We start from the raw sequence: 22,868 nt of genomic DNA, 5'->3' as shown, positions 1-22,868 counted from the left end.
GTCACCTATGATATCTTTTAGCAGTGTTTTGGAGTTCTTGTTGTAGAGATTTTTCACTTTCTTGGTTAAGTATATTCCTATGTATTTTATTTATTTTACAACTGTTGTTTGTTTTCCTAGGTATTTTATTTTGCAGTTGTTTGGGACTGAGTTCTTCATTTGATTCTCAGTTTGGTGGTTGTTGGTGTGCAGCAGTGCTGCTGAGTTGTGTACGTTGATTTTGTAACCTGAGACTTTATCAAATTCATTTATCAAATCTAGGAGTCTTTTGGAGGAGTCTTTAGGATTTTCTAGGTATATAATCATATCATCTGCAAAGAGCAATAGTTTGACTTCCTCTTTTCCCATTTGAATGCTCTTTACTTCTTTCTCTTGCCTAATTTCTCTGGCTAGGATATCCAGAACTATGTTGAATAGAAGTAGTGAAAGTGGGCATCCCTGCCTTATTCTTGTTCTTGGGGGAATGCTTTCAACTTTTTCCCATTCAGTAGGATATTGGCATAGGTTTCTCATCTATGGCTTTTATTTTTTTGAGGTAGGACTCTTCTATGCCTAGTTTTTTGAGAGGAGAGTTTTTATCATAAAGGAATGCTGGATTTTGTTGAATCCTTTTTCTGCATCTATAGAGATGATCATATGGCTTTTGTTTTTAATTCTGTTTATGTGATGTATCACATTTATTGACTTGTGTATGTTAAACCATCCCTGCATCCCTGGGTTGAAGTCCACTTGATCATGATGAACTATCTTTTTGTTGTGCTGTTGAATTTGGTTAGCTAGTATTTTGTTAAGGATTTTTGCATCTATGTTCATCAGGGAAATTGGTCTGTAGTTTTCTTTTTTTTGTTATGTCCTTTTCTGGTTTTGATAATAGGGTGATACTGGCTTCATAGAATGATTTAGGGAGGATTCCTTCTTTCTCTATCTTTTGAAATAGTTTCAGCAGGATTGATATCAATTCTTCTTTGGATGTCTGATAGAATTCAGTTGTGAATCCATCTGGTCCTGGACCTTTTTTTTTGTTTGCCATTTTTTTGATTACCGATTCAATCTCGCTACTTGTTATCGGTCTGTTCAGAGTTTCTATTTCTTCTGGATTTAATATAGGAGGGTTGTATGTTTCCAGGAATTCATCCATTTCCTCTAGGTTTTCTAGTTTATGTGCATAAAGGTGTTCATAGTAGTCTCAAATGATCTTTTGTATTTCTGTGGTGTCAGTAGTAATGGCTCCAGTTTCATTTCTAATTGGTCTTATTTGCATCTTTTCTCTTCTTGGTTAATCCAGCTAATGGTCTATCTATTTTGTTTAGTTTTTCAAAGAACCAGCTTCTTGTTTTATTGATCTTTTGTATTTTGTTGTTGTTGTTTGAATTTCATTTAGTTCTGCTCTGAGCTTTGTTATTTCTTTCCTTCTTCTAGCTTTGGGTTTAGTTTGGTCTTGTTTCTTTAGTTCCTTGGAGCATGATATTAGGTTGTCAATTTGTGCTCTGTCAGACTTTTTGATGTAGGCATTTAGTGCTGTAAACTTTCCTTTTAACACTGCTTTTGCTGTTTCCCAGAGGTTTCGATAACTTGTGTCATTATTATCATTCAATTCAAATAATTTTTTAATTTCCATCTTGATTTCATCATTAACCGAGTTATCATTCAGGAGTGGATTATTTAATTTCTGTGTATTTGTATAGTTTGGAGGGCTTCTTTTGGAGTTAATTTCTAGTTTTATTCCACTGTAGTCTGAGATGATACTTGATATGATTTTGATTTTTAAAAATTTATTGAGACTTGTTTTGTGACCTAGCATATGGTCTATTTTGTGCTGATGAGAAGAATGTATATTCTGTAGTTTGGGGGTAGAATGTTCTGTAAATATCTGTTAAGTCCATTCGTTCTAGGGTGTAATTTAAGTCCATTATTTCTCTGTTGACTTTCTGTCTTGATGATCTGCCCAGTGCTGTCAGTGGTATATTAAAGTCTTCTACTATTACTGTGTTGCTGTCTGTCTCATTTCTTAGATCTATTAGTAGTGGTTTTATGAATCTGGGAGATCTAGTGTTAGGTGCTTATAAATTTAGGATTGTAATATCTTCTTGTTGGATTGATCCTTTTATAATTATATAGTGACCATCTTTGTCCTTTTATACTGTTGTTGCTTTGAAGTCTGTTTTGTCTGATATAAGAAAAGCTACTCCTGCTTGCTTTTGGCTTCCATTTGTGTGGAATATCTTTTTCCACCATGTTACCTTGAGTTTATATGAATCCCTCTATGTTAGGTGAGTCTCAGGAAGACAGTAGATATTTGGATTGTGATTTTTTATCCATTTTGCCATTCTGTATCTTTTAAGTGGAGCACTTAGGCCATTTACATTCAACATTAATATTGAGAAGTGAGGTACTGTTCTCTTCATCATGTTAAATGTTACCTAGATAATTTTTTTTTCATTGTGTTATTGTTTTGTAGGCCCTGTGAGTTTTAGGCTTCCAAGAGATTCTATTTTGGTGCATATTGGGTTTTTGTTTCAAGGTTTAGAACACCTTTTAGCATTTATTGTAGTGCTGGTATGGTAGTAACAAATTCCCTGAACATTTGTTTGTCTGAAAATTACTTTATTTCTTCTTTATTTATTAAACTTAGTTTTGCAGGGTACAAAATTCTTGGCTGAAAATTGTTCTGTTTAAGGAGATTGAAGAGAGGACCCCAATCCCTTCTAGCTTGTAAGGTGTCTGCTGAGAAGTCTGCTGTTAGTTTGATAGGTTTTCCTTTGTAGGTTTCCTGATACTTTTGTCTTACTGCTCTTAGAATTCTTTCCTTCATGTTGGCTTTAGATAGCCTGATGACTATATGCCTTGGTGAAGATGTTTTTGCAATGAATTTCCCAGAAGTTCTTTGAGCTTCTTGGATTTGGATATCTAGATCTCTAGCCAGGCCAGGGATATTTTCCTCAATTATTCCCTCAAATATCTTTTCCAGATTTGTTATTTTCTTTTCTCCCTAGGAACATCAATTATTCTTAGATTTGGCCATTTTACATAATCCTGTATTTCTTGGAGACTTTGTTCATTTCTTTTGACCCTTTTTAAAAAAATTTTTGCCTAATAGAATTAATTCAAAAGCCTTGTCTCCAAGCTCTGAAATTCTTTCTTCTACTTGTTTTAGTGTATTATTAAAAGTTTCTACTGCATTTTGTAATTCCCTAAGTGTGTCTTTCATTTCCAGAAATTCAAATTGGTTTTTCTTGATGATATCTATCTGTCTAGAAAATTTTTCATTCATATCCTAAACTTAGAAAAATTTTTTATGATGGTTTTCACCTTTCTCTGATATCTCCTTGAGTAGCTTAATAAGTCCTTATCTGGTATTTTCAAATATTTCATCTTGGTTTGCATCCATTGCTGTAGAGCTAGTGTGATCCTTTGGGGGTATTATAGAACCATATTTTGTCATATTACCAGAGTTTATATTCTGGTTCCTTCTTATTTGGGTAGGCTATTTCTTCTAACTATTCTTGAATTTATGTTTGATTTGACTAAGTTTGTTGTTTGTTTTAATTTCTTTTTCCCCTTAAGGATGAGACTTTAATACTTATAGTTAGTTACAGCCTAATTTGGTTCTTGGTGCTTCCAGGGATGAAGACTGTAAGAGTTCCCTGGTTATAAAGTCTTTGTATAATGGCTTTCCCACATGCTAGTTGTAGTAGGGGCCAATAGGGGAGGTGTCCCTGGGTAGGGACTAGTTGTGGCTACAGCAGATGGGCAAATGCGATACCCAATGGTGGGCAGAGGTCCCAGTTTTGACAGAGGTTCTTGGAGGAGCTCTCAGTGAGTTGCACTGAGGTCTTATCAGAAGGAAGGGTTGAAGCCACCTTAGCTCCCCTGCCAGGTCAGCAGGAAATTTATTCACCTCTCAGACACACTCCAGTCCTAGTACTCCAGCATTCAGATCAGACAGGCACCTCTTCATGGGTAGGAATGTTGATGTTCAAGTAGAGAGGAATTGTGACTCTGTCTCTCATGCAAGCCGGCACCTGGAGGATGCTCCTCCTGTGGGGATGCCATCACCCTGACGTGTTCCAGAAAGGGCGTCTATAGTTTAACCCACACTTAACTCCCATGGGAAAAGCCCTAACCATGCCTGTGGTGGTGGACAAGGGAGAAAAGATATTTCCTTATCCAAAGCCCTTCATGGGCACCAAGGCTGTCTGACTGTTGGGCTAGAGCTGAAGATTTTCCCTGCTGAGGCCAGCACTACAATTGTGCCTCTGTTAACTTCCCACCAGTGGAAATATCTGATGCTCAAGTCCTGTTGTCTGGATTCCTTTGTCTCACAGGATGTTCCCTTGGTGTGGTGCACTCCCCCTTCTCCTAAGAGTGGGGATCCCTGGGAGCCAGGCTACTGTAAGTGTTATTGTTCCTCTGGGTCTAGCCATCCAGTGAAGTTGCCACACTCCAGGCTCATGTTGGGGAGTGTCTGCAAGGGATCTGGTGATACAACCTGTCCTCAAGTCTCCCAGCAGTGGGTAGCAGCACTAGCTCTAATGGTGGTAGCAGGTGAGTGATGTAGACTCTGTGAGATTCCTTGTTTATTGATAGCCTTAGTGTACTCACTTTCTTGAATACCAGTTAGAGTGGAATGATCTAATCATATGGACAGGCTCAGGACCTCCTGGTTAGCCAGAGTGGTGCAGGCAGTAGTGATAACGGAGATTTCACAGCTGTCTTCTCCTTCTTGGGCGCAGTGCTATTCCACCAGGAGATGCTATCATGGACTGTGTTGGTTGGCTTCCAGCCAGGAGGTGACGCTTGCAAAAGAGCACCAGCCGCTGTAGTAGCAGTAGGATTTTTGCTTGCCTTATGTTGCCCAGTGCGGGTACTCTGGTTTCTCAGGCAATGAGGAGAGGCATATAGTTCTCAAGATTTTCTGTCCTTTATGTGAAGCTACCAGGGCAAGTGGCAGAGCAAAGCCAGATGGGAGCTGGGTCAGGCGGGTTTGCCCTCTGAGTCTTTGCTGGCAGGGTACACAGCAGCCCCTGTGGGTGTTGTGGGGATGGGAGCAGGTCTCAGGTCACTGGGTTGACCTTCCGGAGGGGAGTATTGCTGCCTGTGCTGCACAGAAGGGTTCGCACATGGAATGGTGAGTAGCAGGCAGCGGTAAGCCCCCACACAGTTCCCACGTACTTGGCGAGGCAGATCCACTCCCACAGTGTTACACTGGCAGCAGTGAGCTAAGTTCCAGTCAGCCTGCACTCAGAACTCCAGTTGCCCATGTGAAAATAACAGCCGCTTTCAGACCACGCCTCTCCCCATCCACTGGAAAGCCTGGTGCCTGGCTCCTGCACTTGCGGTTGCAGCCCACTTTTCACTCTCCCCTGCCCTGGTCCTGGCCAAGGGAGTTCATCCCCACCCAAGGTTCTATTGTGAAACCCCCTTGGGGGCTTCCTTCAACCTGAGACCAACTGCTTGAACTTTTCGGCTGTCCTCCGGAGAGTCCCCTGTGTGGAACAGTAGGGAATGGCTTCCATCGGTCCACACGAGGATCTGGAAGTGCATTCACGGGTCTTCCCGCCGTTGCTCCTACTTTTATATTCCACAGGCCTCCCCAAGTCGGTTCCTGCGCTGGTTGGAGTTAGAGCCTTCCCCCATTGCCTGGACTTTCAGGGTCCCTGGTGGGGGTGTCTATCCCCAAGGCAGTCTCTCCCTTCCTCTCACTCTGGGGACTCGCAGCCCTTGCCTGACTCACAGTGTAGGCGGCAGCCTCCTGCTTCCTTCAAAAGGTCTGTCGATTCCTTCGGTTTTCCTATTCAGTTTCTGTGTCGCTTCTTGGAAATAAGTTCTCAGTGTGACTCTCTACACACTATTTTTTCCTTCCAAGTGGGAGAAGTATGCTAGCAATGCGTCTAATCTGCCATCTTGAAAAGCTTTTGTGGTATATCTTTTGCTATTCCTATATTTGTACCTATTTATATTACTTTGTTTGGGTGTGTCTCTTTGTGCTGGATGCTTGGAGATTTCCCTGACATGATCACCCAGCTCACCAACTTACTACTTATTTATATATCTCAGCTACTAAACCTATTAATTTAAAAAATTCAGCACTAATTATGTTTTCATTTCCAGTCTGTGTTTTGGTATTTTCCTTAGATGCCTGTTGTTATTTCATGCCTGCCTATTCTTGTTTCATAAATACCTGATGTTTTATGGATTTACTTCGGTTTTCTTTATAAGGTTATTGAATATACTAATTTTAAAGACCTTTTCACATTGACTTTTTTTAATGTTTTCTCTGTGGAGAAGTTCTCTTTATTGCTGTTTTTGCTTTTAGTTATTGTTGTTCTTGGATTGGTTAGCTAGCTCTCATGGTGCTGCTGTTCTCCAAATCTTTGGAGATTCCTGCATGCACTGCTATCTTTCCAGGAATAACGCCCCAAGTGATTAGGGGTTGTCAGGGTCTCATGAAGCGTGGCACCTGCCCCAACCTCCCTGTGGTGGCTGCTTCTAATTGAGGCTATGGCTTCTTCTCTGCTTACTTCCTGAAAGATGTCTCTCTGGTACGGTTTGCCCGTGTCCCCACCCAAATCTCATCTTGTGTTGTAGTTTCCATAATCCCTCCGTGTTATGGGAGGGACCTGGTGAGAGGTAATTGAATCGTGGAGGCTGTTACCCCATGCTGTTCTCATGACAGTGAGCGAGTTCTCATGAGATCTGATGGTTTTATAAGGGGCTTTTCTCCCTTTGCTCAGCACTTCTTGCACCACCATGTGAAGAGCAATGTGTTTGCTTCCCCTTCTACCATGACTGTAAGTTTCCTGAGGCCTCCCCAGCCCTGCAGAACTGTGAGTCAATTAAACCTCTTTCCTTTATAAATTACCCAGTCTCAAGTTTGTCCTTATAGCAGTATGAGAACAGACTAACAGACTCTCCCTCCCTATGAGAACTGTCATAGAGCAAACATTAAAAGTGAAGGCTGTGGAGTGTGACAGTCTATGTTCTAATTCTGAAAGCTGGGTGATCTTGAGCAAATTCATTACTCTCTATCCGCCTCAGGTGTCCTCACCTGTAAAAGGAGGTTAATGGTAGCACTTACCTCATGGGGTTGGAGTAATGATTTAATGAGATCTGACATACCATGTTTGATGCAGTATCTGGAGCATAACACATCTTCAATAAATGATGCGGCCACTCTTCCTTCATGTTATGTGGAGACTCATTTCTTGTTCATAAGTGTAATTAGACATTGATTAATATAATTATATAATTTTTCATTTTCCTTTCTGTGAGTGTGGAATCACAGACAGGGGAAGATTTCACCATGTGCATATCTGCCACATTGAAACATTTGAATGAAAATATGATAAATTTTACAATTTTATTTGACAATTTCTCATGACAGATGAAGAATCTAAAACCCAGAATGCAACAGAAATGTTTTTGGACAGGGCTTTGTTAGTCATAGATGATGGAAGAGAAACCATTTCTCCCAATAAAGTGGTTTTTCTAAAGTACAGCTGTGGCAGGGAAGCAGTGAATGCTTCTTCTACACAAAAAAATTGTTGCCACAGTTTTTTGGCTATAATTAAGTAGAAGTCTAGCATTTTGTATAGCTTATATTATTCTACCGTATCTCTACAAGGTGCACGTTATAACCTCCATTTACGTACAATCAAACTAAGGCTCAGAGAAGTAAAGTGTCTTGTTGAAAGCCACACAGTTGGAAATTATAAGTGGAGGGATTAATGTATGGATTGACAGGGAGCAGGATGAAGAAAATCCCAGAGGGAGCCATTGATATCAGGATGGCAGGGGTAGTCCAAGTGCTTCATGTAAGCTGGGTCCCAGGAGGACCAGGGAGTTAGATAGGAGGAAGTCCCTGCAACTTGCCAGGCAGTAAGGATCCATTCAAAAGCAATACCTGAGTTCCCTCTGTTTACATGGCACCATGAGTATCAATAATGCCCGACTGTGTTTCAGGCATGGTATAGTTATAACATCTCTTTTAGTCTCCACCATAACATCTGCAGGGAAAGCCTTATTATCCACATTTAGGAGATATTATCCTAAACTTATTATCCACAGTTTAATGAAACTGAGCCTAGGAGGGCCCAGTAGCTTGCCCAACTCCTTAGCACACACTCTTGGTTGGGGCATTTATTCTTCCTCCCTCCTCAGGTCTTATCTGAATACAGTAGTGAATGAAATAGGTGTTTCATTCACGAACAAAAGGTACTGAAATTGAGGTGATGGCCCCAGGAACCTGTCCACCATATTCTCCTCCCATCATAACCCTGTCTCATCTCTGGAATCCATAATCCCCACCTACCTCCTAAAGCAGATCCTTATTACTCTAAACCCACTTCCTCTCCTGGAGGAAGTCGTGAAATGATTCTTTCTGCTGGATGCAGGCACATGAAAATGCTAAGGTCCCAGATTAGACTGAATTTGGGCTAAGTTTGGGCAGTTACATCAACAAACTTTTGGAATAAGGAATCATTTCAGGAGCAGATCTGGTTCCTCTCCAGTGCTGAGCAAGTCCTGTAAATGTTCCTCCTGCCTCCAGCTGAGTAGCGTTTGTTTGAAGCTGGTGCAGACTAAGGCAGCAAGCCAGCCACATCTTACGGTCTTGACATGGACAGTTTAGGGCATAGCTCACAATCACAGATCTTTCTTGGCCTAAAACCCCCAATTGCGGAATCACCAAAAATATCTGAGATGGAGATAGGGGTGATGTGGGGAGAGAGAACATGGTCAAGGTGTGCAGGAAGCATTATTTCTGCTAAGTGTGTCTGATTCTCCTGAAAATGGAGCATGAGAACTCTACTTTGTAGCTGCCTGCTGTGCCTGGTTTCTATGTCACAATCTAGAAGCAGGTTACTGTCTCACTTCATCACAGCTACTTCCTCTTGAATCGAGGGAGCCAGCGCTTGTCTTATCTACTTAGAGCAGAGCCTGAGATCTCCCCAGCACAGACGTTTGAACAGAGCAGGCCCCTGATGTCTCCAGGATACCCATCCTAGCCTCCTGGCCCCACCCTCCTAGTCCTTTCCTGCTGCTGACTCTCCTGCTAGGACTCACAGGTGAGCATTGCCTTGGGCTAGAATGCTTTCTTCTTCACCACGGAGCCATGGCCTTCCCCTGGGCTTCCAGGGATTCCAGACAACCACAAGTGCTGCCAAGGAAAGTCAAGGACTGGGCATTGTCTAAGAGCAGAAGATCAGGGAGGTGCATACTTCCTCTGTGGATCTGCAGCTGGCTACCAGAGGCATCAAACCACATGATGCTTCAACCACCACCAAAACAATTACTTACATTTTTATAGTAGTTCAGTTTACACAACACATTCAAAAGAATCATTATTTAAATCCTTGCAACTCTTGAGGCTCCAGAGGCAAAGAAACCCGCGGAAGCCCACAGAGTGAGCTCAGAGACAGCCTGACAAGGCTGTGTGGCTCCAAGCCCAGCCCTCTCTGTGCACCATCCTGAAGAAGTGAAGTCTGAAATGGTGCCTGCTTGAGTTGGGCAGGGGTGCAGTGTTTCCTGGAGATGTCCTGCATCCACCATCCTCCCTAAGGGTGCTCCTCCCTTTGCCCTGTGTTCCCCCCATTCCTCCCTCCTCTGTGATCTGAGTGTTACCACCATTTCTCTGTGGCCAGTTCCTTTTTAAGAAGTTCCACATCTTCTGCTTGCTGGGTCCTATATTTGTTAGGGCTTCCATAACAAAGTACCACAGACTGGGGGGCTAATACTTCCTCGCAGTTCTGGAGCCTGAAGTCCAATATCAAGGTGTCAGTTGGGTTAGTTTTTTTGGTTTTTGGTTTTTGTTTGTTTGTTTGTTTGTTTGTTTGTTTTGAGAGGGAGTCTCGCTCTGTCTACCCAGGCTGGAGTGCAGTGGCGCAATCTCAGCTCACTGCAACCTCCACCTCCTGGGTTCAAGCGATTCTCCTGCCTCAGCCTCCTGAGTCGCTGGGATTACAGGCGCCCGCCACTATGCCCGGCTAATTTTTGTATTTTAGTAGAGATAGGGTTTCACTATGTAGATCAAGCTGGTCTCGAACTCCTGACCTCAAATGATCCGTCCACCTCGGCCTCCCAAATGCTGGGGTTACATGCATGAGCCACCGTGCCCGGCTGGGTTAGTTTCTAATGAGGTCTCTCCTTGGCTGTAAAAGGCCATCTCTTCCCTGTGTCTTAGCACGTGGTCTTCCCTCTGTGTGCGTCTGTACCCTCAGCTCCTCCTGTAGTGAAAACATGGGTCACAGGGTCACATTGTGTTAAGGCCTGTCCGCAATGACCTCCTTTAACTGAATTACTTCCTAAAGAGCCTATCTCCAAATACAGTCACATTTTGAGCTATTAGGGATTGGGACTTCAACACATTCATTGTGGGGGACACATTCAGCCCATAACAGGTCCCCATAACATGCCTTGGTTCCCTAGACTTTTCTGTGGAGATTTTATTTCCCCTTCCCCAAGACAGGCAGGACTGGAGGGCCTTAACTGGTGCAGCCTTTGAGAGCCGGGCTGCTTGTCCTCACCCCTTTCTCAATCCATGGAGCTGACCCCATGGTCACAGGGCTGGGCATAGTACCTTCTCAGCTCCCCAGTGGGCCCTGCTGTGATGTCCCCTCACAGATCCTAAAGGGCAGGGCTCCCACTTTTAAAAGTATTTTTCTTACACATACACTGTAGTGAAATTACTACCATAATAGTTCACCAATTAAACTCTTCTGATAAGACAGACACATTTCTTAGCATTTTGTATTAATGTGACTAATCCTCACAATATCACTGTGTGAAAGCTACAGTTGTTATCCTCTACTTGCAAAAGGGGAGTCAGGCAGAGGGAGGAACTTGTTCATTGTCTCCTAGCTCAGTCAATGGAGCAGCTCCAGAGTTCCTTCTTTAAGCCAGTTTATGTTAATTGCAGAAAAATTAGAAAGTGCAGGGAGGAAAACAGAGGAACAATCACCACCCATCACACCAGTCAGAGACAACCAGAGTTAAAACCCTGTTGTATGCACTCCAACCTTTTGTTAATAATGTGTTGGATGCTTTCTATGTGCCAGATATTTTACTGAGCTTTTAAAATGTATTATAATTTAGGTCGGGCAGGGTGGCTCATGCCTGTAATCCCAGCACTTTGGGAGGCCTAGGCAAGTGGATTGCTTGAAGCCAGGAGTTCAAGACCAGCCTGGCCAACATGGAAAAACCCTGTCCCTACTAAAAATACAAAAAAAATTAGCTGTGCATGGTGGTGCATGTCTATAACCTCAGCTTCTTGGGAGGCTGAGGCACGAGAATTGTTTGAACCCAGGAGGCGGAGGTTACAGTAAGCCAAGATCATGCCACTGCACTCCAGCCTGGGCAGCAGAGGGACAGTGAGACTGTCTCGAAAAAAAAAAAGTGTTATAATTTTATTCAATGCACAAAACAACCTTGTATATTAGCATGATAGGCCATGCTTTTATATGTGTTTATGAATGTGTGTATGTGTGAGTGTGTGTATACACATTTGTGTATACGAGTGTAAGAATACACACACAGGAGTTTTTATTTTTTATTATTTCTCTTTCTATTTTAAATTAAATTTTTAACAAAAAATTGTAGTTTTATTTTCTATTTGTCAAAATTATGCATATCTACAACATATTAAGAAATATGTATACATTTTGAAATGACTAGATTGAGCTAATTAACATATGCATGATCTTACATACGTATCTTTTTTTGTGGAGAGAACTCATAAAATCTGCTCTCTTAGTATAATGGATGTTATTAAATATGGACTCCATATTGTACAGGTAATCGCTTAATCATATTTCTCCTATCTAACTGAAATTTTGTATCCTTTGACCAATCTCTCCCCAGCCATACCTCCTCCCTAGCCCCTGGTAACACCCATTCTACTGTCTATTTCTATGTGTTCAACTTTTTTAGATTCCACATATGAGTGAGATCATGTGGTATTTGTCTTTCTGCACCTGGCTTTTTTCATTTAGCATAAAGTCCCCCAAGTTTATGTATGTTGTCAAAAATTACAGGATTTCCTTCTTTGGTAAGGCTGATTAGAATTCCATTGTGTATTTTCCTTATCAGTTTGTCTGTTGATGATGGACACTTAGATTGATCCCATATCTCAGCTATTCTAAATAGTGCTGCAGTGAACATGGGAGTGCAGATATTTCTGTGACATGTTGACTTCGTTTCCATTGATTGTATACCCAGTAGTGAGATGGCCGGATCATAGTAGTTCTATTTTAATTTTTGAGGAATTGCCATACTGTTTCTATCATGGCTGAACTAATTTACATTCTCACCAACAGTATGCAAGAGTTTTCTTCTCTGCACACACTCTCCAACACTAGTTAAATATCATTGTTTTTATAATAGCCATTCTAACTGGTGTGAGATGATATCTCACTGTGGTTTTAATTTACATTTCTCAGGAGAATAGTAATGTTGGATTTTTTTCATATGCCTACAGCCATTTGAATGTCTTCTTTTGAGAAATGTCTGTTCAGATATTTGGCCTGTATTTTATATTTTGGGTTGTTTTCTCACTATGGAGTTGTTTGACTTCCTTCTATATTTTATATATTGACTTTTTATCAGATGTATGGTTTGCAAATATTCTCCCATTCTACAGGTTGTCTCTTCACTCTGTTGATTGTTTTCTTGCCTGTGTAGACAGTGTTTAGTTTGTTGGAATCTCATGTGTCTATTTTTGCTTTTGTTGTCTGTCCTTCTGGGTTTATATCCCAAAATTAACTGCCCAGACCAATGTCATGGCACTTTTCTTCTAGTACTTTTACAGTTTTGGATCTTACATTTATGTCTTTAATCCATTTTAGTTGATTTTTTTATGTGATATAAGATGAAGGTCCAATTTTATTCCTTTACATGTGGACATCCAGTTTTGCCAACACCAGTTTTTGAAGACTGGTCTTTCCTCATTGTATGTCTAACAGTTTTGTCAAAAGTCAATTAAGCAAAAATATGTAAGTTTGTTTCTGGACTCTCTATTCTGTACCATCGATCTATGTGTCTCTTCTTATGCCAATGCCATGCTATTTTGATTATTATAGCATTGTACCAGATTTTGAAATAAGGCAGTCTGGTGCCTCCAGCTTTCTTCTTTTGCTCAAGATGGCTTCACCTATTCATGGTTTTCTGTAGTTAATATTAATTTCAGATTGTTCTGTCAATTTCTGTGGAAAATATCATTGGAATTTTTTTAGGATTGAACTGAATTTGTAGATCTCCTCAGGAAATATTTAAACAGTATTAATTCTCCAATCCCTAAACACACATATCTTGTCATTGTGTGTCTTCTATTTCTTTCATCAGTGATTCATAGTTTTCAGGGGGCAGATCTTTCACTTACTTGATTAAATTTACTCCTAGATATTTTAGTTTTTTGAAGCAATGGTAAATGAGATTATTCTATTAATCTTTTTAAGCTAATTTGTCATAAGTGTATAGAAATGCACTGATTTTGCATGTTAAGTTTCTATTTTGCAACTTTATTTGCTTTTTTGATCTAATTGTTTTTAGAGATTTTAGGATTTTCTATGTATAAGATAGTGTCTTCTGAAAACAGCAACAATTTAAATTCTTCCTTTCTGATTTGTATGACTTTCATTTCTTTCTCTTGATAATTATTCTGGATAGGACTTCTGATACTATGTTGCATAGAATTAGTGAGACAGGATATCCTTGTCTTGTTCCTGATCTTAGAGAAAAAGCTTTTCACTTTTCTTCACTGGATATCATGTTAGCTGTGGATTTGTCCTATATGGATTTCATTGTACTGAGGAGCATTCATTTTACATCTAATTTTTTGAGCATTTTTACAATGAAAAAATGTTAAATTTTGTCATATGCTTTTTTTGTCATTGTTGATATGGTCCTATGGTTTTTGTCCTTCATTCTGCTGATGTACTGTATTGCATTTGTAGATTTATGTTTATTGAAGCATCCTTGTATTCCTGAGAAAAATCTCACTTAATCATGCTGAAACACACAGGATTTTAAAAAGACATTCTCTTCCATTCATATTTTAGTCTACATGAAATGCACGTTGAAGAGATGTTTGGTTTTCCCTGTTGCCCAGCCACTCTCTTCCCCTTTCTACCATCTGATATTACCACTGAAACTCTCCCAATCTGTTAAGATAAGCAATAGGTAAGCAACTTCTCTCTTGGTAAAATGAGTTTTATTTTAAAGCAGAACTTCTGTGCATTACTGTCTTAGAGTTCCCTCTTTCATGAAGGGTAAGAGTGAGGAAGAAAGAAAGGGATAAAACAGAGAGCGCTGTCTATGTTATCTACATCTATGGTTATATCAATAGCTGTATCCATATGCATATCATATAATGTCGATTGAAGCCTCCATGACTTAGAAAATCTAAAAAGTAATAATTTACAATTTTTGAATACTCACCATGTGCTAGACACTGTTGGAAATGCCTTATAGCTGTTACCTCAGATGGTTGTTATGCCCAGAATAAATATTCCCCTTAACCTCCTCCCACTGCTCACAGATAAGAAAACAGAAGCACAAAGAGTTGTGTGGATGCTCATTGGTAACTGGTAGAGCTATGATTCGAACTCAGGCACTCTGACTCCAGAGATCACAGGTTTCACCGTCACTCTTGTCAAATACTTGTGGCCTTGATGCTATGCCATGAGACTTCTTGCAGCTGCTGCTCCTGGGAGTGAGTGGGGTTGTGGTATAGGAAGAGGGTTTGTGGTTTTCTCCTTCTGGGCTCTTCTGCTTTCTTTGTGTATGCAAATGAATGTTTTTTAAACCAAGTCATCTACATGGGAAACTCAGTTTCTAGCAAATATCACAGATGCAGTCCACTTAAAATAGATTTCAGTGTCCCAGGGAAGTGTTCTAATGAGTAATTCACACCTTACACACCTATATATTGGATAGCTACTATGTGCCAGGACCTGACATAGAACATGGCATGCATTGGTGAATAAAAGAGCAAAAGTGGTTGACCTTTTGGAGCTTATATTCTACTGGAGAAATGATAATAACCAATACACATGATAAGTAGATAAATAAAATAGTGTAGTATGAGTATATGATTTTATCATGTTGTGGAAATGTCCATATATTCCTTTTATTGATTATTTTTCTCATAAAAAGATGTTCAAATTTGTCAAATGCTTTTCTACATCAAATGAGATAATCGTGTCTTTTTCTCTTCACTGTGTAATATGATATATTACATTATCATTTGTATATTGAAACATCTTTGTATTCTAGGAATAAATTCCACTTACTCATGGTGTAGAATCCTTCTAATATGCTATTAAATTCAGTTTGTTAGTATTTGGTTGAGAATTGTTGCATCAACAAATTATAAGACCAACAGTCCACAAAATGGTGTGCAGCTGCACCTGACGGAAATTTTAATTTTGCTTTTCAGTGGAAGTTTAGGTTCCAATGGGCCCCATTTCAGATGAGCAGAGCCTTGCATGTGGGACAATCTACGGTTCATGATTGCAACAGGAGAGTATTGTTCCTAGATCTGGACTCCAGGATGGGAGAGCCCAGTAGGTAACCAGGCATTTGTTGTTTTAATGGAATATAGCACAAGGGTGAGAGGGGCATTGTTTTTGCATCAAAGGCCCTGGGGAGATGTATGGCCATCATGAATGGTCTAGAAACTCCAAAAAGCATGAAAGAAATTGCTAAAGTCTCCACAGAGAAGAGGTATTTTTGTTTCTTTGTTTATAGGCACTAACAGGGGTGCCTATTGATTTTAATTTGTAAATAAACTTTGTAAAAGAAGAATATGTTGCCACTGGCGCCTCAAAACAACTTAGAGATGCTGGATAATGTGATGTTAATATGCACATCACATGAATCTCCTTTGAAGAGGTTGTTATCAATGTTATGTCATCCTGTGCTCTTGAAGAAATGTAGATGTCATTATTGATATTTAAACAGGATCCTCACTTCAGGATAGAGAGTCTTGGCAGAACTCCAAAAGGTAACATGAAGCTGCACATAGCACAGCAAAAGAAAGCCATCAGTGTAAAAAGCCTTCTCAAGTTGTGGAGCCAATCAGAGTAGCAAATTAGTAAGCCATGAATAGTTAAAGAGCATCTCCTAGGAAATTTCCACCCCAGTTTAGAATGATCCCATTCTCATTGCCATTGGTATTGAAAATGCTAAAGTCAGGCTATTGGGTCTTTATGAATCACTCTAAGATGGTCATGAAATTTTCACTTGGAAAGGCATGTGGAATATGATTTATTTTACTCACAGGTCCTAGAGAGGGAAGTAGGGCATGCTACGTAGAAAGCCATATGAGAAGAGCTCCTAGGAAGCAGGCTCAATCAAGCAGATGGGGAAGCAAGAGAGAAAGAATTCCTCAGCAAGTGCCTTTACTGGGAGTCAGGGTAGAGGGTACAAGCAAAGAGCATGATGGGATTTACTGGTGTCTTTTTATGGGATTAGGTCACAATATGGGAGGGCAAGAAAGGGAAATTGTGCCAGGAGCCAGCCTTATCACACTGGTGCACCTGGTCACCTGGGCAGGGTACTCACAGCATGATTGTGGGATGTTGAAGCATCAGAAAAATATGAACTAAAATAAATTTACATGTAGCAGGACTTTTTTTTTTTTTTTTAGACAGAGTCTCACTCTGTCACCAGGCTGGAGTGCAGTGGCACGATCTCGGCTCACTGCAACCTCCAACTCCCTGGTTCAAGCTACATGATCTCGGCTCACTGCAACCTCTGACTCCCTGGTTCAAGCTATTCTCCTGCCTCAGCCTCCTGAGTAGCTGGGATTACAGGCATGCACCACCACGCTCAGCTAACTTTTGTATTTTTTAGTAGAGACAGGGTTTCACCATGTTGGCTATGATGGTCTTGATCTCCTGACCTCGTGATCCGCCCGCCCTGGCCTTCCAAAGTGCTGGGATTATAGGCATGAGCTACCATGCCCAGCCTGGACATTTTTATTTATACAACTTGCAGTTGCCATGTAGCATCCTTTTATTTCTACCTGAAACCACTCTTGTAGGTAAGGTTTAATGGTAGTGAACTCTCTTAGTTTTTATTCATCTGAGAATATCTTAATTTCTCCCTCATGTTTAGAGGATAGTTTTCCCAGGTATAAGATTCTTGGTTGATAGGTTTTTCCTCTTTCAGCATTTTCAGCATATCACTCCTCTGCCTTCTGGCTTCCAGTGCTTCTGATAAGAAATTGGCTGATCATCTCATTGAAGAACTCTTGTATGTGAGGAATCCATTCTCTATTGCTGCTTTCAGGATTCTTTCCCTGACTTTAGTTTTCAACAGTTGGATTATAATGTGTCTTAGTGTGGGTCTCTGAATTTTTCCTTGAGTTAAACTTGAGTTTCTTCAGAATCTTAAATTTGAGGATTCATGTATTCTATCAAGTTTCAAAAGGTTTTGGGGTATTATGTCTTCAAATAATCTGTTCCTTTCTCTCTTCCTCTTTTCTTCTTCTAGAACTCTAACAATGTTTGTGTTGATCCATTTGATAATGTCCTACAATGTCCTCGGGTTCTGCTTGTTTTTCTTTATTCCTTTTTCTTTCTATTCCCCAGTCACAATAATTTCAATTATTCCATATTCCAGTTTTCTGAATCTCTCTTCTGACTGCTCACACCAGTTGGAGAACACCTCTAGTGGATTTTTCAATTATTGTACTGTTTAACTCTTAAGTTTCTGTTTATTTTTTATAATTTCTCTTGCTGTTGTTCTTATTTTATTAATGCATCATATTCCAATGTTTCTTTAGTTTTTTTTCTGTTGTTTTCTTTAGCTGTTTGAGCATGTTTAAGACAGTGATTTAACATCTTGGTCTAGTGTCAGAAAGGGCCCAATATATGACAAGGGTCTTTGTAGGACATATGACAATGGAAGCAAGATGTGGGAGTGATGGGAAGATGTAACTGTGAGGAAAGGAATGTGGCAGCAAGGAACAGAGCCTCTAGAATACACACAGCTTTGCTGACACCTCTTATTTAAGGGGTAAAACATGGTGCTTTCGTATACATAGACATAGTGTAATGGTTATTACAGTCAAGCAAATGAACATATCCACCCTCTCACATAGTTACCGTGTGTGTGTGTGTGTGTGTGTGTGTGTGTGTGTGTGTGTGTGTAGGGCATCTAAGATAGACTCTTTGAGCAAAAATACTGAATTCAATGCAATGCTATTAACTCTAGTCCTCATATTGCACATTAGATCTCTGGACTTCTTCATCCTACCTTTCTGCAGTTTTGTATCTTTTGGCCTGCATCTCCCCATTACCTCTCCGACTTCACTCCTGGCCACCAACATGTCATCCTCTATCTTTGTATATCTGAAGATTTTTCTCCTTGATTCTGTCCAGTAACATGATTTTGGACTTCTGACCTCCAGAACTATAAGATGATACGTTTCTTTTGTTTTAAGATGCTAAGTTCTGATAATTTGTCACATCAACATTAGGAAACTAAGGTAATGTAATTATGCTATGGGTGAGAAATTCTCAGGGGCTTAAAACAATGTTGTACTTGTTAGTTAAGCTGCATGTTCAGTGTGTGTGGAGAATTCATGGTCATTCAGGCATCCAGGCTGATGGAGCAGACCTCATCAGAGCCTCGTAGGTCTCTGTGGAAGGGAGAAGTTAATCCACAGAGGCTCTTGCAGTTAAATGCACAGCCCACAAATTATACCCATCATTTCTGCTCACAACTCAGTGGCCTAAAGGAGTCACATGGCTCCACCCAATGCAATGATTCAGAAAGTCTGGCCAGGCGCGGTGGCTCACACCTGTAATCTCAGCACTTTGGGAGGCCAAGGCAGGCAGATCAACTGAGGTCGGGAGTTTGAGACCAGCCTGACCAACATGGAGAAACCCCGTCTCTATTAAAAACACAAAAGTAGCCAGGCATGGTGGCGCATGCCCGTAATCCCAGCTACTCGGGAGGCTGAGGCAGGAGAATCCCCTGAACCCAGGAGGCGGAGGTTGTGGTGAGCCGAGATCATGCCATTGCACTCCAGCCTGGGCAACAAGAGCGAAACTCCGTCTCAAAAAAAAAAAAAAAAAAAAGAAAGTGCAACATTCCATATGGCCAGAAAGTGGAGGCACAAATATTTAGCAAAGCATGACACTTCCAAGGGGGGATCAGGAGCTCCACTCAGGTTAGCAACCCCATGCTCTTCCATGAAACTGAACCTCTCTGTGTCTCAGTGTCCTCACTTATAATACAGTCTCATGTTACAGACTTGTTGTGAGGGTTAAATGAGATAATACACACAGTGTGCTGAGCTCAAGGCCTGCTCCTGGTATGCACCCAGTCATTGAAGTTCATTGATACACACTTGAGGAAACATTCAAGATCACGTAAGGATGAGTAAATGACTGCTCTGTTACTTTCTAGGAGTGGCAGGTGAGGAGCTGCAGGTGATTCAGCCTGAGGCATTTGTGTCAGTTGCAGCTGGAGAGATGGCCACTCTGAACTGCACTGTGACCTCCCTGCTCCCTGTGGGACCCATCCAGTGGTTCAGAGGAGCTTGTCCAGGCCAGAAATTAATCTATAGTCCAAAAAGATGCCACTCTCCCCGGGTAACAACTATTTCAGACCAGAGAAAGAGAAACAGCACAGACTATTCCATCCGCATCAGTAGCATCACCCTCGAAGATGCTGGCACCTACTACTGTATGAAGCTCCGGAGAGCAATTCCTGCCAACGTGGAGATTAAGTCTGGACCAGGGACTCAGATGTCTGTGCGTGGTGAGTACAGTGTAGGCCTCCTTCATCCCCCAAGGTATGACAAGAAGTCAATAATAGCACTGTCCTCTGTCAGCAACAATCAAGGGTGGCAGTGGGTGCTCACTTTCATGATCTGATGCCACCCTCTTCTACAAATCAGGTATATTGAGGCCTGGAGATGTCATGCTATTCACTCAAGTCTCCGTGACTGGTAAATGATGGGGAAGTCTGAAACCTTAGTCTGCCTGGCACCATAGCCTTTGCCTCTTCTAATCTGGCCCAGCCATGTTTCCACAGATAAGGGAGCTGATGGTTTGAGTGATTTTCCCAGGCACAAGGCTAGACCTTGCCTGCTGCGTCCACAGAGCACTTTCCCCCCAGGGTGGCTGAGTCTCTTCTTTACGTAACAAGCATTCATCGAGAACCTACTGTGTGTGAGTCTCCACCGTGGTTGCTGGGCAAATAGTTGTTAAAAAAAAAAAAAGGCACAAGCTCTGCTTTCACCAAGCTTACATTCTGTTCCCTTCTAATGAGGATAAATCCATCCAGAGCACTGAGGGAGTAAATTGGGTTTTTCTTTATATAATCTTCAGAACCATCACACTGGGAAGATTCCTGAAGGACACAGATTCACTGTTTAATCTGATGGCCGTGGTGAAAGGAGACGGCAAGAGCTTTATGGGTCTATCCAGGATGTTTGTGGGTTGTTCAGGAAACCCTTGTGTGATTCAGGGACTGCCTCACACAGTCACTAAAGGTTTCAAGCAGAGCTAGGCCATCTCAGAATGTCCCTCGCCTAAGAGAAGAGGTCCTCTATATGGGTGACTTAGGGGTCCCCCAGTTAAGGCAGCAGAATGCTTATTTTGGGTTTTCTTTCAGAGGCCCAGGTTCCTCAATTTAACTCCTGAATCCTGGAATATCAGTGCAAAAAGGACCTTCAGACCATTTAGCCCAATGCCCTTTTACAGATGGGAGACTGAAGCCAAGAAATGACAGGGGCCTTGCCCAAGGTCACAGGGCCAGTTAGGGTTGGGGCAAGAGCCCAGATCCTACTCCAGGCAGGCTTCGTTCCATCCTGGCATTAGATACTCTCTCCATAGAAGAGTCTGGTTCGTAGTAGGTGCTGAATGAAAGCTCCTTGAAAAGAACCGAGTAGGAAGCCAGTATTTCTCCTTTTCATAGTTACTCAAAGGTTTAGAACGCCTCTCTCCTTCATTCTCTGTGCTCTGTTGGTGATTGGAAAACCTCTCCCAAATGCAAGCCATATAATTTCTTATTGAGATTCCATATAAGGACATAGAGACCTGCTCCATTGTTTACCAGCTGCAGAATATGTCAATTTATGGAAATATCAAATGTTATTTTGCAGACTTCTGTTGATGGATATGTAAGTGGTTCCCAACCTTGAGCTTTTGAAACAATTCTGCTGTGGGTGAACCTGCACATATGTTATCCTACTCTGGTGGCAGATGCCTGCCAGAAGTTGCATTGTTAGGTCAGAGAGTGTATGTGTTTTAATTTAAATGGATGTTGCCTAATTTCCCTCCTAGATGAAACAGCAATCAAGGCTCCCCAGAACCCTTGAACATAGGTAGGAATGTGGCTTTATCCTAATTTGCAAATATTACAGACAAAGACACTAAAATTCCCAGGTGGTGCATCTCATACCTGGAACAATGACAGCTAGCAAGTGACTCAGGTTTAACTGAGATCTGCTAACTCCTAGTAGGGTTCTCACTCCTCTTTGCCATGCTATTGGCCTAAGTGACCACTTGGATGAAAGAAGAGGGAGGTGGGAGGGGGCCAAGGAGCAGCGGTTGTGTCAGAGACTGTACCGTCATCCTGGCATTTTCTCCTTTTAACCAGTGCTACGAAGTCGGAGCCATTTGCTGTCCCTTTTACAGATGAAGACATTGAGGCTCAGAGAGGGAACCTGAGTGGTGAACAGGTCAGGGATCCAAGGTTTGAATCCCACAAGCCTGATTGATAGCCCCTGTCTCTGCAACACCCAGCGCACTTGTTAAACTATAGAGAATCCCTCCAAACTTCTCATTCTGAACTCTTGCTTTGGAGAACTGAACAGCCCAGGTAGCCTCAGATGGGGTAAGTGGAGGCCCCTGGGATGGCCTCCCAGGTGGCCCCTCTAATGGATCCTCCTGTCTCCTGATTTCCAGTCCGGGTGCCAGCTCCTACTGCCTCACTCCTCCTAGGTCTCCTCCTGGGCTCCAAGGTGCTGCTGCTGGTTGATGTCTCTGCTGCCTATGTCCACCGGAAGCAGAAGGCCTGACTGTAAGTGTAGAGGAGGGAGGGTGGGCCAAGGGCTGCTCCAGAAGGTCAGGCCAGCAGGAGCACCCAGCCCGCATGCCACACAGCCTCAGGGTCAGTGGAGTTTGGAGAAGGTGATGGGGCTTCCTCAGCACCCTCAGAAGTCTCAGGGAACCCTCTAGGAGAATCCCAACCCCAGGAAGTGTGTGGGTGCTGCAGGAGGTGGGCTACCATAAGGGTGTTCAAAGGTGTCCACAGCACCCTAGGGGCCCATAGGGGAGGTGGGGAGAGGGGGCTGAATGAGGGCCAACTCTGTAGGTGGTCCCTTGCAGGCCATCTCTCAATTATTTGATGCTGTACTCCGTGGCATCTAAGGAATCCCCACTGTAGAGTACTGTTGAGACGCCTCAAGTGGGCTGCTCTTAGTGCTCTCAGGCTCTCAGCGCCTGAGTGGGAGGGATGAGGGAAAGGGCATCAGGACTTGGGAGGAGGGCTGAGCAGGTGAAATTCTATCTCAGGGCTCCCTGTCCACCCATAATAGGCATCCCAAGAGGAAGACCAGCACTGAGGACATAGCAGAGTCTCAGGAATCATTTCTTGAAGGATGAGCAGATGACTAAATGTGGATGTGTTTCCCACAGCTCCTTTCCTCCTCCCCTGCCATGTGGGACCCTCAGTCTGTGCTGCCTCCTTCCTTCCTTGAAGGGCTCAGCTGGAGAGAAGGAGCTGGCGAGAAGCTTCCCCAGACTCAGCTCCAAATGCCTGTCCTCCCAGGACATCTTCCTGCCCACAGGCTCCTGTTGCTCCTTTGCAGAGTCCTTGATGCTCCATAGCAGGGTCTTCATTCATGGTCCTGA

General features: G+C 42.1%; 1 pseudogene across 1 annotated transcript in view; it reads left to right on the top strand.

The window, feature by feature from the left end:
- The window catches only part of SIRPB3P (signal regulatory protein beta 3, pseudogene), a 27,968-nt pseudogene extending 5,100 nt beyond the window's left edge, over window positions 1-22,868 (top strand). Inside the window, exons 2-5 of the transcript NR_164369.1 lie at window positions 15,431-15,561; window positions 19,414-19,767; window positions 21,921-22,035; window positions 22,653-22,868. The product of NR_164369.1 is annotated as a signal regulatory protein beta 3, pseudogene (transcript). The remainder of the gene's footprint in view (window positions 1-15,430; window positions 15,562-19,413; window positions 19,768-21,920; window positions 22,036-22,652) is intronic.

Source organism: Homo sapiens, chromosome 20, assembly GCF_000001405.40.
Source record: "Homo sapiens chromosome 20, GRCh38.p14 Primary Assembly".
In the NCBI taxonomy this organism is placed as follows: Eukaryota; Metazoa; Chordata; class Mammalia; order Primates; family Hominidae; genus Homo; species Homo sapiens.
The sequence above is the reverse complement of the archived record's forward strand: the minus strand, read 5'-3'. Positions and strand labels throughout refer to the sequence as shown.